The sequence below is a fragment of the Homo sapiens genome, chromosome 11 (genome assembly GCF_000001405.40).
Source record: "Homo sapiens chromosome 11, GRCh38.p14 Primary Assembly".
Taxonomy (NCBI): domain Eukaryota; kingdom Metazoa; phylum Chordata; class Mammalia; order Primates; family Hominidae; genus Homo; species Homo sapiens.
The window spans coordinates 93,393,235-93,410,481 of NC_000011.10; the positions used below are offsets into that span (position 1 = coordinate 93,393,235).

The 17,247-nt window shown below is 33.1% G+C and overlaps 1 protein-coding gene across 17 annotated transcripts in view, besides 1 other annotated feature; it reads left to right on the forward strand.

Moving 5' to 3' along the window:
- DEUP1 (deuterosome assembly protein 1) overlaps positions 1-17,247 on the forward strand; it is a 108,473-nt gene that overhangs the window by 63,237 nt on the left and 27,989 nt on the right. For 7 of the 17 annotated variants that reach the window (XR_007062456.1, XR_007062457.1, XM_011542631.3 and 4 more), the window contains 4 exons: positions 1,225-1,422; positions 3,005-3,091; positions 3,515-3,583; positions 14,997-15,193. Coding sequence is in view for 14 of the 17 variants with exons in the window: in XM_011542631.3 (XP_011540933.1) it covers positions 1,225-1,422; positions 3,005-3,091; positions 3,515-3,583; positions 14,997-15,193 (551 nt within the window). In the remaining 3 variants the exon portion in view is untranslated. Of the gene's footprint in view, positions 1-1,208; positions 1,423-3,004; positions 3,092-3,514; positions 3,584-4,024; positions 4,117-14,996; positions 15,194-17,247 lie in introns of those variants that run through there. The other 10 variants (XM_047426455.1, XM_005273802.2, NM_181645.4 and 7 more) reach the window with 6 other exon arrangements.
- Positions 5,433-5,934: an enhancer, noted in NCBI's record as "NANOG hESC enhancer chr11:93131833-93132334 (GRCh37/hg19 assembly coordinates)". NCBI's record gives its function as "activates a minimal SCP1, AML or CMV promoter by ChIP-STARR-seq in naive H9 embryonic stem cells {active_cell/tissue: H9 hESC(naive)}" and the evidence as "EXISTENCE:reporter gene assay evidence [ECO:0000049][PMID:30033119]".

A 17,247-nucleotide genomic window follows, 5' to 3' on the forward strand; every position in this document is an offset into this window, starting at 1 on the left:
GAATGCACATGCCACCACACCCGGCTAATGTTTTTACTTTTCATAGAGCATCTATATGTTCTATTTTTTTCTATGCCTTTTTATTTTTTTTATTTTTATTTTTTGAGACAGGGTTTTGAGACAGGGTCTTGCTCTGTCACCCAGGCTGGAGTGCAGTGGCATGATCTCAGCCCACTATACTGCAACCTCTGCCCCCTGGGTTCCAGGCATCCTTCCCACCTCAGCTTCCCACACAAGCCACCACGCCCGGCTAGAGCATCTCTAATTGGCATTCATTCATCCTTCAGTTTTGGGTCTGATGACCCTTCCTCTGGGAATCCTATCCTGTCATCCCTAGGCTGGGTTAAACACACTGCCACTACATACTGCTGACACTAATTGCTACACTGTGTTGTAATCGTCTATTTTTCTGTTTCCCCAATGGACTATGATTTTTTTTTAGACGGATGATTATGTACTTTAAGTCTCAAGAATTAGAAACAGTAATGGTTTCTAGAAAGATGCTAAGAGGCTAGACAAAGACAGCAGTTGTAGGAATGGAGACAGAGGCAAGACTTAAAAGAGGTTGAAATAGAATGGACAGAATTCATTGCCTGACCAGGTTTGGGAGGACAAGGGTGGAGAGGAGTCAGAGACAATCCAGAGGTTTGTAACATGGAAGCTTAGCCAAGATTCAGAAAATAAGAGGCTTAAGTAAGGGAAGTGATGAGTTTTCATGAAGACATTGTTTGAAGTTTACTGTAATGTGATTCTGAGAAACAAATGTTTAGTTACAAACAGTACAGCCTATTTTAGTTTTAAAAAAGCACTGAATTTAAAGCCAAGAGTCCTAGATTCCAGTCCTAGCTTTGCCGATTATTAGCTTTATGACTTTGAGCAAATCATGTAACCATTTTAAAGCCAATTTTTTTCTCCATGAAAATGCTTGATAATACTTTCTTTACCTTCCTCTCAAAGTGGTTATCAAAGTAGTATCAGTCATAGGTGATGATTTGCATACAACAGAAAATAGAAGTGAGAAATGAAATGTTGGAATTGGAAGGAAAAAAGGTAATGAGTCATTATTATATGTATCTGTTTTTAATTTAGCATTGATCAGAAAAGGAGGGTGAAGTGGGCCCTGACAAAGTTTCAGAATAGAAGGACTGAACATGGCCAGTAAAATTTTAAGCTACTCTATAAATAAAAGGATTCAATAATATTTCCAGTCTCTATCTGCTGCAGATAAGAAGCCAACTCCAACAGGTGGAAGAGTACCATAACTCTGAGCAGGAAAGAATGAGGAATGAAATCTCTGACCTAACAGAAGAGCTTCATCAGAAGGAGATCACTATAGCAACTGTCACAAAGAAAGCTGCCCTTCTGGAAAAACAGTTAAAAATGGAATTAGAAATAAAAGAAAAAATGTTAGCAAAACAAAAGGTATGCAAGCAGGCAGAATAGCACTTGTCTAGGGCACATTCTTGCTCAGTGCCAATAGTAGCCTTCATTATTGACTAATGAAAACATTACATTTCTTGGTATTATTTCTGAGACTAGCTTCACAGAAATGCTTTGTGGTGTTACATAAAACCTTTCAGAGATAACACAAAGTGTCACCAACAAAAAGGACTAGGGAAATGACAGTGCAAGACAATTTCATTAAATCTCATCTTTCCATTTTCTTGTAACCTATATTCTGATCACCTCCCACAGTACACTCTAATCAAATATTTCTTCCTGAGTATGTTTTTCTGTATTTCTCTTCCATTAACATTTTTATCTTTAAAAAAAAGTCTCTATTCCAGCTCTTCTTCAACACTTCCTACCCCTCCCCCACACTTCATGTATTTCTTTCAGGCTTTTTACAAATGGATGTTGAAACATGAAAATTAGTTCATATTTACTGAACATGCAGTCAATGCACAGCATGGTACGTGAGGAAAAACAGCAATTGTAACATTCTTCTGTTAAAATACTACAAGTAACTTCTACATCCTTCCTTTCCTTCCTGCCTATTTATTTTTTAAATTCCCTCCATCCCTTACTCATGATCAAATGGATGGCCTACTATTGAGAGCACAGGGTTTATCTGCTTTTTTACCCCAAATCTAAAGGTTTTGAGAGCATCATTTAATAATTTTCTAGGCATATGAGGGTCACTTCACAAATAACATGACTAAAATCGTGAATTATGAAAACAGAAAAGATTTAGCCTTTGCCCAGTTGTAAGCCTTAAACCGTGATTTATTGTTGCAGTACACAGGAAAACAGCACAGATGGGATAATCTCTTTGGTTGTACCTGTATAGGCAGGGATATTTTACAGGTGTTAACAGTGATCTGGCTAGTTGGATTATGAATAATTTTTATTTTCACCTTTATATTTTTGTACGTTTTCTAGGTTTTGTCAATGAGCATAAATTGGTAATTTACAAAATTAAATCTTTTTAAGGCACGTGTTTTATACAGAAATGAGTCCTAGAGAAGTAAAAGGACAGATACCATATCCAAGTCCTGTCAAGTAGAATAAATCAGGGAAAGATAAAATAAATTGAGAGACAAAATGAAGTAGTCACTAAAAAAGATGGAATTTTGGCAGAAATATCAGAACAAAATTAAACATGAAAGTTATGTATTGCCTATTGTAAAAATTAATCAGGTGTTGAATAAATTTAATGGACAGTTACTCAAACATGCTTTTAACATGTGCTTTTTCTGGTGACAATTTGCATACAATAGAAAATAGAAACCAGAAATGGAATTTTGGGATTGTAGGACAAAACTAAATGAATCATTATTGAAAGTATATGCTTGTAGTTTAGCATTGATCAGAAAAAGACGTAAAGTGGTGCCTGCCAAAGACAGGAGAACTAAATAAGAATACCTGAATGTTATTGGTCGTACCGAAGAAGTGTTTCCCTTCATTACACTTAGAAAATATTTGTATTCACAAGACAAAATTTTAATAGAATTATGAGTTTTTATTATGAATTTTACATTTGCCTTTTATCTGCTAATTTCAGGTCTCAGATATGAAATATAAAGCTGTCAGAACTGAAAACACACATCTAAAAGGAATGATGGGAGATTTAGACCCCGGAGAATACATGGTAATATGCTGACATCATTCAATAAATTGAACAAAGAGATTACTGAATTGGTCACGATTAACCTAGACATCATTTATTGAGCACTTGCTGTGTGTTAGACATGAAGGAGTTGGGTGGTAAATTATCTTGTGCTTCAGTTGAGGTTACTTTTATCCTCAGGCTAGAACATTGGAATGTCTGGTTTTCTCCCTTGTTCTTTGGTTGGATTGGGCTCAATTCTGATCATTTCCCTCAAATATGCCAAGCATGCTATTTCCTTGCTTTTCTTCTTGCTGTTGCCTTTGAAATCCTACATCCTATGTGGCCTGATTCAAGTGCCAATCTTCCCCTCAACGAAGCCACCCCTGAAACCCCAGTCAGAATGAATGCCACATTTAGTTCGTATTTTGTTCTGACTTGTTTTGTTGCTTGTCACTTTCCCAGTGGATGGCAAGCAGAGAACCATGTCTTATTGGTGTTTGTTTCACCAGTACCTCACATCTCAGGCATAAAGTAAGTGTTCAATGAGTGTTGGTTGATTTAAAAGAGGGAGAAATAAATGAATTATTCAGGATAAGGACTACTGGTTTTAACCAATGGCTCTATAGGTTTACACAAAGGAACTTAAACAGGCTCTGTGCATCCCCTTTCAATTGTTTAATGTAACAATAGAAAATTGATTTTATATGAGAATTTTTATTTATTGAATGAATGAAATATCATTGTTAACTTGTTTATCATTTATTTGCTCTGAGAAAATTCTAAAATAATTTTCTACCATATGAGGAATGGAAATGATAAGAGATGAATATGTTAATTACTTAATTAGGCCTCAGTTTCCTTAGCTATAAAATGAGGGAGTTGAATTAGACATTCTCCATTGGCCCTCCTTAAGCTATGATACTATATTTCTGTGATATTATATACTTGTTCTCATAATGGTCCATATTCTAGCATCAAAAGAGTGCAAACATTCTGGAAGCATTCTGTCTTCTTCTTTGGGCATGGTTAATGGATCCTGTGATTGGAGTACAGATGGATAAAAAGTAAGGCATAAGTGATTTTCCTATTTGTTACATTAAAAAAACTGTGTGTCATCTATGACATTTTTATTTCTAAATGCTGAACACACAAAAAGTTAAATCAGATCCTGCCTCCGTGAGTGCTTTTTTCACTCACAAAATGGTATTTGTATTTTTTTTACATTTCAATTTGAATGTTTTTAAGTGTATATTCTGGGTCGTCACAGCCCCCACTGAGCCTGCCTAATTCTGGCTCCTTTAGGTGTTTGACTTTGTTCACCTTTTTGTGTTTTTAAGAAATAGCAGACACAGAGATGTATAAAGAAGCTAATGATCCACAACCCTATCCCAATCCAAAGCTATCCAGTGCTAACGAATTAGTGTTTGTTGTAGCATTCTGTAACTTTTTGCTTGCATATGCACACATAAGGAGGAGATGGGTTGAATGTTCTTTTACAGAAATAAATGTATAATATATACATTATTCCAAAACTGCCTTTTGACAGTCCATGAACACCTCTACAAATCAGTAGATGAACATCCCTTTATTTTTCCTAATTTCTTAGAAAAAATATATGAGCATATAAGATATACATAATTTTTTATAAATTTAATCATAACTTACATAAGGGCAATTTTAGTGCAGTCACTTTGTTGTTGCTGCTTGCTTTACTCCTCCCTCTTTCCTCCACTCATCTACCCGCATTATACCCCCTCCTCTAGATGATACATGTTAACTACTTGGTATGTATTATTTTAAACTTTTTCAGATATATATACATATAGTCATATAGTACCTATTTGGGGATTTTATCATCTTTTTAAAGTTGAATCATAACACGTACTTCTCTGTGTCCTGTTTTTGTTCACTCAACAGTATCCCTTGGAATCTTTCCAAGGTAACTAATTTAAGCCTATTTTATTTTTATAATAGCTTGATAATATTCCATGGTGTGTATCAAAATTTATTAAACTATTTTTATACTTATTTCAAGGATAATTTATTCCACTCTGTTTCCAGAGTTTTGCCCGAATGAACAGTACTGTAAGAAAAATCCTTATACTTACACCTTGGAATAGCTTCCTAGGAGTAAAATTGCTAATTCAAAGGATATGTGTGTTTTAATTTTAATAGCTATTGTTAAATCATATGTCTACCATCTTTGTATGAGTACCTTTTAAAATTTCATTCTTGTAGGCATAGGTGTTATAGGTCTTTTTAATTTTTGTCATTCTGATGGTTATAAAGTAATTTCTCAATAGCTCTTTAATTTGCATTTCCCTGAGTACCAGGTGAACATATTTTTGTATATTCATTGACAATGTGTACCAATATCAATTAGATATATCCTTTGCCCATTTTTCTTTTGGCTTATTTGTCTTTTTCATGTCAAATTTTTTTTTTTTTTTTTGAGATGGAGTCTCACTCTGTCACCCAGGCTGGAGTGCAGCGGCATGATCTTGGCTCACTGCAGCCTCCACCTCCCGGGTTCAAGCAATTCTCCTGCCTCAGCCTCCCAAGCAGCTGGGATTACAGGCACATGCCACCATGTCCAGCTAATTTTTATATATTTTTAGTAGAGATGGGGTTTAGCCATGTTGGCCAGGTTGGTCTTGAACTCCTGACCTCAAGTGATCCACCAGCCTTGGCCTCCCAAAGTGCTGGGATTACAGGTGTGAGCCACCCCGTCCACCCTCATGTCAATTTTTAACAATGCTTTTCCAAATCTGTTGTTTGTAACTTTGTTTATGACTTTTTTTGGCCATGCAAAATGCTTTAAACTTCTACTTGATCTCTTTGTTTATAGCTTCTGAGTTTCCTTCCTTGACTAACAGGGTCTTCTTGTTACATATATATATATATTTCTTCTAAATATATATAGCTTCAGTTTTTTTTCAAAGATTATTATATCTTTCATCCAAGTCTTTAATCCATTTATTTTGCGTGGGATATAAAATGGAAACCAAATTTAAATTTTTATGTAAACATTAAGCTCAGTTTATTTAGTTTCTCCTAGTAATTTCCTGTTGGATCCTATTTGGAATTGAAGTAAGTTTATAGATTAACTTTGATTTGGCATTTTCATTATAGTAAATTTTTCCATCCAAGAATGGCTTTCCATTTCTTCATATTTTATGTTTTTCAAAAAGATCTTACCATTTTCTTTGTACAGGTTATGTCCTTTTCTTTTAAAATGTATTCCTAGGTGTTTTTTAAGGATGAGTTTGCTGTTAAAATAAAAAAATAAAAAATAAAATAAATAACAAAATTTATTCCCAAGTGTTTTGCAATTTTTAGTACTGTTATGAATAAAATATTTTCCTTTTTTCAATATCTTGGAACTTATTGTTAATATAGAAAAAATACAAATTATCTTATTAATTTAAGTAGGCTTTTTACTAGAGGTTTCTTAGGCTTTTCTGAGATACAAAATCATATCAACAAAAATAGATAGTCTTATCTCTTTTCCATGGCTCATAGTAGGTTTTTTTTCTTTTTGATCATATACCATTTGCTAAAAACTCCAAGAAAATGTTAAATAATTATAGTGCTTGCTGGAAAGTTTTCTAGTTTTTGATTTTAAATGATGTGGTTTTAGAGTTTTCCTGTTTCATATATTTGTTCTTAATTTATGGTCTTAGTTATATCTTTTTCTATTTTACTTAGAGTTGTTATTAAGAATTGCTGCTGGTTTTATCAAATGCCTTTTTAGGAAATATGATGTTATGTGGGTTTTGTTTTTTAATTTATTGATGTGTAATAGACTATGGTTAACAGATTCCCCAATATTGATCCACCTTTGAGTTTTTGGAATAAACCTTTTTAGTCATAGTCTCAGTTTGATAGGGCTGCTGTAACAAAGTACCAAAAGCTGGCTGGCTTGAAACAACAGAAATTTATTGTCTTACAGTTCTAGAGGCTTGAAGTCCAAATTCAAGGTGTCAGCAGGGCTATGCTCTCTCTGAAACCTGTAGAAGAGAATGTTTCATTGCCTCTTCCTGAATTCTGGTGGTTTGCCAACAATTGTTGGCATTCCTTGACTTGTAGATACATCAGCCCAATCCTCTGTCTTCATATGGATTTCTCCCTGTACCACTGTCTTCTTCCTGTGCTTCTTCCCATCATCCTCTCTCCTTATGTGTCTGTTTCTGTGCCCAAATTTTCCCATTTTATAGGATGCTAGTCCTACTGGATTGGGGCCCACCCTAGTGACCTCATTTTTACACTATAAAGACCCTATTTTCAAATAAGGTCACATTCTGAGGTACCGAGGGTTAGGATTTCAACATGTCTTTTTGGGAGTGGCACAGCTAAACTTATAATAGCCATATTTTAGGAATTTTGATATACTATTGGATTCTATATGATAATATTTTATTTAGAAATGAAGATCTGCAGACTTCCAGTTTCAAAATGGTGGCATGAAAGCAAGCTGGCTTCATTCCCCCCACAGAATACCAAAAACAAATATGCAGATAAAGGCTATATATGACAAACTTACAGCTAACATCATACTAAATGGGGAAGAATTGAAAGCCTTTCCTCCAAGATCTGGAATAAAATAAGGATGCCCATTTCACCACTTTTATTCAACATAATACTCGAAGTCCTGGCCAGAGCAATTAGGCGAGAGAAAGACACAAAAGGGCATCCAAATTGGAAAGGAAGAAGTCAAATGAGCCCTGTTCACAGACGATATGATCTTATGCTTAGAAAACCCTAAAGACTCCACCAAAAAACTGTTAGAACTGATAAACAAATTCAGTAAAGTTTCAGGATATAAAAACATACCAAAACAAGTAGCATTTTTATATGTCAATAGTGAATAATCTGAAAAAGAAATCAAGAAAGCAATCTCATTTACAATAACTACAGAGAATATGAAATACCTAAGAATCAATTTAACCAAAGAAGTGAAAGATATATACAAGGAAAACTATATATCTCTGATGAAAGAAATTGAAGAGGATAAAAAAATGGAAAGATATTCCATTCTCATGTATTGGAAGAGTTAATATTATTAAAATGACAATACTACTCACAGCGATTTACAGATTCAGTGTGATCCCTATCAAAATGCCAATGACATTCTTCAAAGAAATAGAAAAAAAACTATTCTAAAATTTATATGCAAACACAGAAGACCCTGAATAGCCAAAGAAATCCTAAGTAGAAAGAACAAAGATGGAGACAGTATACTACCTGACTTCAAAATATACTACAAAGCTATAGTAACCAAATCAACATGGGACTGGCATAAAAACAGACACATAGACCAATGGAACAGAATAGAGAACCCAGATATAAACCAATGCATTTACAGCCAATTAATCTTCGATAACCACAATGAGATACCACTTCACACCCACTAGAATGACTAAAATTAGATATATTGAAAATAATGTATTTTCAAGAATATACAATAGGGAAAGGACAGCCTCTTCAATAAATGGTGCTGGGAAAACTGGTAATTACGTGTAGAAGAATAAAACTAGACTCCTATCTCTCACCAAACAAAAATCAAATAAAAATTGATTGAAGACTTAAATCTAAGACAGGAAACTATGAAACTACTAAAAGAAGACATTAGGGAAATACTCCATGACTTTAGTCTGAGCAAAGATTTTTTTGTGTAAGTTCTCAAAAATACAGGCAATCAAAGGAAAAATAGGTAAGTGGGATCATATCAAGCTGAAAAGCTTCTGCACAGCAAAGAAAAGAATCAACAAAGTGAAAAGATGACCCACAGAATGCAAGAAAATATTTGCAAACTATCCATATGACAAGGAATTAATAACCAAAATATATAAGGAGCTCAAAAAACTCAATAGTAAAAAAAAATAATTTGATTTAATAATGGCCAAAAGATCTGAATAGACATTTCTCAAAAGAAGACATACAGATGGCCAACAGGTATATGAAAAAAAATTCAGTATCACTAATCATCAGAGAAACGCAAATCAAAACCGCAATCAGATATCATCACATTCCAGTTAAAATGACTTTTATTTAAAAAGACAGGTAATAATGGATGCTGGCAAGGATTTGGACGAAGGGGAACCCTCATACACTGTTGGTGGGAATGTAAATTAGTATAGCACCTATGGAGAACAGTATAAAGTTTCCTCAAAAAACTAAAACTAAAACTATGATATGGTCCAGCAATTCCACTACTGGGTATATATCCAAAAGAAAGGAATCAATATATAAAAGAGATACCTGCACTCCTGTGTTTATTGCAGCATTATTTTCAATAGTCAAAATGTAGAATCAACTTAAGTGCTTATCAGTGGACGAATGGATTAAGAAATGTGGTATATATACACAATGGAATATTATTCAGCCAGAAAAAATAAAAAATAAAAAATAAAATCCTGTCAGTTGTAGCAAATGGATGAAACTGCTAGAGGTCATTATGTTAAGTGAAATAAGCGAAGCACAGAAAGACAAATATTGCATGTTCTCACTCATATGTGGGAGCTGAAAATGTGGATCTTATGAAGATAGAAAGTAAATTGGTGGTTACCAGAGGCTAAGAAGGATAGGGAGGAAGGGAGAATGAAGAGAAGTTGGTTAACGGGTACAAGTATAGTGTTTGGAAATATTACCTATTGTTCAACACTAGGTAACATATATGTATGATCTATTATACATTTCAAAATAGCCAAAAGAGAATAATTTTGTTTCTAGCATAAAGAAAAGACAAATATTTAAGGTGATGATACCTCAAGTACACTGATTTGATCTCTACAAATTATTTAAATGTACTAATTTATCCTATGTACTCTGAAAATACATCTATTGTGGATCAATAAAAGAAGAATTTAAAATCTGTGTGTATAAATGAGATTTGTATATGGTTCTTTTTCTACTTGTTTTAAGGTTATACTATATTTATAATATAAATTGAGAACTTTATGAGTTGTTTAGAATAGTTTAAGTAATATTGTAAGTATCAGTTCTTTAAAGGTTAGAAAGAATTTAGCTGTGAAACTGGACCTGGTAAATCTTCAATTATTTTTCCACTCTCTTTTAGAGTACTTGGTATATCCAAGTTTCACTACTACTACTTAGAAGTACTTTGTAGGTTATTTCAGTAATTTGTATTTTTCTAGGAAATCAGTTTCAACTTGTTTTATTATTACTAAAGGTAGTAATGTCCTACAGTTCTTTTTATCTCTTCTATATTCTGTTTATAATTCCTTTCTTATTTCTAAGCTTGTATAGTTTAGCATGCTCTCTATTTTTTGTCTTAACTCTGACTCACAAGTGATTTATTTTATTAGCATTTAAAAATATTGGCTTTTGGATTTATTATTCTTTTCATACATTTTTCTTAATTTTATTATTTTTAGTTTCATCAGTTAATTTTCTCTTTCTGCTGTTTTATTTGGTTATCCTTTCTCAATGAAGAAAATTTATTGAAATGAAGAAAACTTTATCATATCTATTATATATTAAAATTTCATAATTAGGAAAAAATCCATAATTAGTTAATTCTTTCTGAAATAATTGGAATGCATAAATATAAAATTAAATAATTGGTGCTGAAATTTTACGTCAGGCAACAGAAACAAGATATTTACATCATTATTTTTGTCTTCTAAAATATGTGCTGTTTGGAAAATATTAAAATAATAACTTTTTCCTTTCTACAAGGAAATTACTGATCTTCAGGTTGGTTATTTCTAACCAATTATAGCTTTGAGAATCTTTCTGCTTGACTACCTATGAAGCTGCCTGCTCATTTCCACTTAGAGAATGAAAGTTTACCACAGGCAGCCACCCAGTTCTAGGAATGCATGGGGTTATGCAGCTCCCATTTGGGGAATGTACTGATGGGACTAACTACCTGGTATCTAAGGTTTCCTGGGTGTCAGTGAGGGACGTAGAATAGTGGAGAAAAGTGAAGGGTTTTCTCTTATTCTGCTCTTGGGTAGCTAACAAATAATCAAGCTTATCGTCGTAGGCTTTTTAATGCCATATTTACTTAGTCCTTCAATTGTATTATTAATTTTTCTTTTATTTAAGAAAGTTGTAATAAAATCAGATTTAATTAGAACTCAGAATCTGTGGTAATTTTTAAGAGGACTAATTTGCTTTTCACCATCCGTAAAGTTTTCTAAATAAAATAGTAACATAAAAAATTAGTACCCTTACAATGATTAAAACATCCATTTACGTACTGAAAATTAACATACCAACTACAAAACATCATTAAAGCCAGTCTTTCTGTCAAAATGCTTTTTTAGCATAATTGTTACTGTTAAATATGCATAAGAAGAAAAACCATACATGCAAAATATTATTTAGACACTTCAGTAATTAAGCCAGCCTCATCCTAATCTGTTGAAGTAAATGAGCACCAGGAGGTTTTGCCATTTCAAGAATAAAGAAATGGATTAAAACTATCAAACTCTAAAATTTTGAAAGAAAACAAAAGTTGAGTAAATGGGTAAAAAGAATCCATTAGAAACACAAGAGGTGGGGGTGGATATATTCCTGAAATCATTAGAAATGCATTTAAGAAAAATATTAAATTAAATGAGAGGGACCCAAAAAAGGGTTTTGTAAAGGAAAATGTACTCTTAAATGTAAAACATGCAAATACATTACCTGTGTAATTCTTTTAGTTCATGCTCACAACACTTATTTAATTATGGTACATTTAGGAAATTGCAGGGTTTTAAAAATCATTATTATCATTCTTAATTACTTTAAACCAACATTGGATAAAAAAAATCACAGATTAAATCTAATTTTATAGGAAAAGCTTAAACAAAATTTTAACTAAGCAGCCGACCATCAAGAATTCTGTACTTTGACTGGTAGATATCTTATTAAGAGTCAAATTTTGAGTCTTATTCTCAACCCTTTTCAACCAGGTCTGCCCATATGGTTATTTTTCCTTATGGAGGGAAAAAATGTATAAGACCCTGCCTCCTTTATTTTTATCACAAATCTACTCTAATTTTAGAATAAGCACTCCTTTATCTTCTAAAGCAAGAGACTACAGATTGCTCTTTTATCTGCATTTATGCCTCTCAAAAAGAATAAATGTTGAGAAATCCTAAAGGCAGAGCTTAATAAGCAGAGAAATACCTTCAATGGCCTTCCTTTTTCAAAGAGCACCTTGGTCAGTAGCTTTAGAAGCATATAACCTTCCCTGTATTGATTTGTGGAAAAGTTTGCCCTCCTGAAGCATTTTCTTCCATTCAAAAATGAGACTTTGCTACATATTTACTAAACCTCCATAATAGGTAGTAAGCGGAAAATGTAGTAAGCAGATTTGGCCTTTGAAGCAAAAAATGAAATATGTAAACATTTTAATACCTAATATGTATGTATTTCTGCACTTATTTATTACTATTGATACTAATATGACAGTATGTAAATAATTTTCAATGTGCAATTAGTCAAAAATTTTACAAAACTTAGGATGATTTTATGGGATGCCTTTATGAAAGGCACTCAAAGCTTTAAGCTTAGGAACTTAGTTCTAAGCTGTAATCATTCATTGTTTTATAGACTTTGAACCATAGATATTTGGAGCTTCGAAAAAGATGTTTTACTCAGGTTATTTTTGTATGCTAAAATATTACCGTTTTGAAAACATAGAACTATTGTTTAAACAGCAGCTACACAACTCACGTATATTCGAATCTGAGGAGTAGAAAGAACTGTGTAAAATCATTTAGAGCATTTTTCATGAGTTTTTATTGTGAGAATATATCCTATTTTTTAAAATTCTGTGAAAAGTTTAGATACTCCCTAGGAAACTTCTTATGTTTAATTGAAATGGCCTCAGCTAATCTTTATTCTTACTCTAAACCTCTCATTTTGTAATTTAGACATGCTTCATATTCTATTCTGAGGACACACTAAAATTGAGTGTCTCCTACCAGGTAGTGAAACTTCATAAGGAAGATACATTGCTCAGAATTGTGTAGAACTGGCACAATCTCAACTGTAAGATCAGTAAGATGGAATGATCTGGAATCAGACCGCAATCTATATTAATTTAGTATATAATTTGCTGAATCATCCAACAGTGGAGAATAGATATTTTCATCAATATGTGATTAGAACAATTACAATAATTACTAACTTTAAGTCTTTTCTCATTTTGTACAAAATTAATACCAAATAACTAAATAATTAAATGTAAAATAATGAAATTATAAAACAAATAGAAGAAAATACAAGTGAATATTAGCTTTTAGGATGAAAAGAAAAAATATAAAAGCAAGGAAGAAGTCACAAGGGAAAAAGACTGACAGATTTCATTAAATAAAAATTGTAAAAAACTTTGTGTATAAAATATATCACACACTAAAATTAAAACTTAAAATCACATGGAAAACATATTTTCAACTAACTTAAGAAACAGTAACTTAGGATTAGTACACCTAATGTAAAAAAAATTCCTTCAAATTAGTAAGAAAAACACAGACACCCTAATGAGAAAATAAGCTAAGGATACAAATAACACAGACACCCTAATGAAAAAATAAGTTAAGGACACAAATAGACAATTGACAAAAGATAGAGTAAAATTTGCCAGGAAACATATATATTCTACTTCACTAATAGCTAAATAAAAGTTACTATTTTTATCTATCAAGTTGGCAAATTTAACGAAATGGTAATATTGAATGGTTGTGAGTGTAGTAACACAGGCTCCTTAATACATTAGTGGTGGGTATTTATGAGATTGAAATGTATAAGATTTATAGGGGAGGGGGCTGGACATTTTTAAATCAAGGTCTTCAACAACATTCACACAATTTAACCCAGTGATCCCACTCCTTGGACTCTAGCTAAAGAAATATAGAACAAGATTTATGTATAAGGAAATCAACACAGTGTTAATTATTTTGAAAAAAAAACTGAATTCAACAATAGAAGAATGGTTAAATGAATTTATTATTTAAATAAAAATTTCTATGTTTAGGTATGTTCAGATACACAAATACTTATACAAGTTTGTAGCCTAGAAACAATAGGCTTTACCTTACAGCCTACGTGTGTAGTAGGCTATACCATCTAGGTTTGTGTAGACACACTGTATGATCACATGATGAAATCAGCTGATGTCGCCTTTTTCAGAATGTGTCCCCATAATTAAACAACATATGACTGTATATTGATTATAATTTTCTAAGTAGGCATACATTATAATTATATTGATACTTTATGTTGATATTGTATTTTCTACTGGTAGGAAAAAGACTAGAAAGATATAAATATAACTGTTAATAGCAGTTATCACTGAGTGTTGGTAGTATGGAATATTTATTTTGTTCTTAATACCTTATATTTTCTATAATGACATATATATGATTTTATGTGCCCATATATTAATACATGCCCATCTTAATCAGAAGAAAATTCTTTTAAAATTTAAATGCATGTTATTTCCAGTTCCATTATTAATCAACACTAGAAGGTATATCCTATGAACACAAAAAAACTTGAAATCTAGCTAATTTGTTCTGTTAGGTTGGTGCAAAAGTAATTGCAATTTTGCCATTGAAAGTAATGGCAAAAACCGCAATTACTTCTGCACCAACCTAAATAGATACAGAGAGCAACAATGCATAGAGTAAACCTTTTCTGTTTTGGGGCATGAGCAATATTGTATGTATTGCACCATCCAACAGTGGGGATGATGCAATACATACATCATTGCAAATGTGTTCCACAACAGCTACCTCTGGGTATCTGCTTGTTGTGAGGAGGTGAGGGGGTGGAAAGGAGCATTTAGAAAGTGAGCAAGAGTACAGCCACATCACTTGGCTCAAATGAAAGGGCCTTTCCAGCACAAGTCTCCAAACACACAGAAAATATGCATTACTTATAAGGGGCAGTTTATTCAATGATAGTTTATTTTATTCTCTAGAGTATGGACTTCACTAACAGGGAACAGTCAAGGCATACATCTATTAATAAACTGCAATATGAGAATGAAAGGCTCCGAAATGATCTTGCAAAACTTCATGTCAATGGAAAATCAACCTGGACTAATCAAAACACCTATGAAGAAACAGGAAGATATGCCTATCAAAGCCAAATAAAAGTGGAACAAAATGAAGAGAGGTATGCTGGCTCCATTATATAAGGGCATAAGTTTAAAAACATGTAATTAAAATTTATTTTTAAAGAATTCAAATTATAACTTTATACGCTTTCTCTTCTGTGGTTTAAAATTTATAATGATAATGCAGTAGATGAGTAGATAATGTAGGCTAGATACATTGCTTTATAAGAAATTGTGTCGATTTGAAATGCGTGGAGTGTTACAGTGGATTTTAGTTTGTTAGTCATCTCAGATCTTTTTGGAAGCTGAGGTGGTATACAAAACATACAGATAAGTAATTTTACTTTTGATGTCATGGGAACAGAGAAAACTAGATTTTAATAGGTATATTGTTCAAACAAAATAGAAAATGTAGGAACATGTCACTTTTCACCTACCTTCAATAATAGATACACTTTCTTTTTTTGTTGTTTTTGTTTTTTGGGGTTTGTTTGTTTGTTTGTTTTGAGATGGAGTCTCGCTCTGTCGCCCAGGCTGGAGTGCAGTGGTGTGATCTCGGCTCACTCCAACCTCTGCCTCCTGGGTTCAAGTAATTCTCATGCCTCAGCCTCCCAAGTAACTGGGACTACAGGCCCCCGCCACTACACCCGGATAATTTTTGTATTTTTAGTAGAGACAAGGTTTCACTATGTTGGCCAGGCTGGTCTCTAACTCCTGACCGCAAGTGATCCACCCACCTCAGCCTCCCAAAGTGCTGGGATTACAGGCGTGAGCCACCACACCCAGCCAATAGATACACTTTCCATTGACATTCTAGCAGTGGCAACAAATTATTGGTCATTTTGTAGAGAAGGAATCTATGGATGTATAAGAGGTTTTCTCCAAATGAAGAGAAGTGTATGGAAAATCATTATCGGCTGTCCACATTATTCCCATACTCTGTAAAAGGTCTTATTCAAAATTAAAATCTATCAAGCATAAAAATAGGCTAAGTTATTCAATTTTAATAAAAGATTTATGGAGTCATAAGTCTCTGAAAGCCTTTTACTGTTTTCCCAAACTTGGAAAATGCTGAACAAAATAAGCAAGTTTATTTTATACAATATTTCTCAGAGCCATTAATATGTTAACTTACACTGTGATTGTCCAACAAGGGATATTGTATGCAGCACTCCCCAGACATATTTGATATCAATTTATTATTTCATTTCATAGTGCCAAGAAACGGCAGATTAGTAGGTCCAGACCCAACTTCATTGCAACATTTGCTCATAAGCTCATAATAGTTAGCATGAAAAACCTTCTATTTTGTTGTTACATAACAGAAATAATATTCACAGCCCTGGAAAATTTTCTTAACCTTTGTCACCCTCGATTTTCTATCTGACAAACAAGGTTAATAATTGTAAGATTTTCATAAGGATTATAGGAGAAAAACCATACACAACTTGTAGTTCCATAAATGTTAACCATTATTACTAACAAAATTGTTAGTATTTATAATAATATTTCTCCCACAACTTATGGTACATAAAAAGTATATTTGGGCAAATAGACAAATGGCTGAATCTGACATAGCCTCAAAGATAGTTCTGTGGGGGAGAGGTGGTGCCAGACTCATCTTTTTAAGTAAGCATACTCAGCTCTACAGGTAGATAAATCCGTAGGTCCATGGGATATATTAAAAAAAAATGTTCAACATAAAACAGATGTTCAACATTCTTATGGGTATAGTACAGCCCCGTCCTACTTTCAGCACCTCAGCCATGTGTATATTAGAAGGATATATTGTAGCCCCATGCAGGAAACAGTAACCATTCAAAAGTACCAAATTAATAAACCCTTTTCAGGTAAAGAAGCGAATGAAGGAGGACTGACTGCCATCCCTAAAAAGCATCATGGTGGGGTGCTGTGGTGGGGTGTTGGTAGTGACAGCAGCAGCAGGATAAAAGCAGTGTAGGAAGGATGAAAGAGGTCGCTGGGCATGGCCATGGACCAGTTCTCTGGTGAATGTGTCCATGTGAAGATCTGTCCAAAGGAGTGTAATCCTGATTTTGGTGTAAGAATATATGTTCTAATATGGAATAAATAAGCTTTACAGAGTACTTATGGA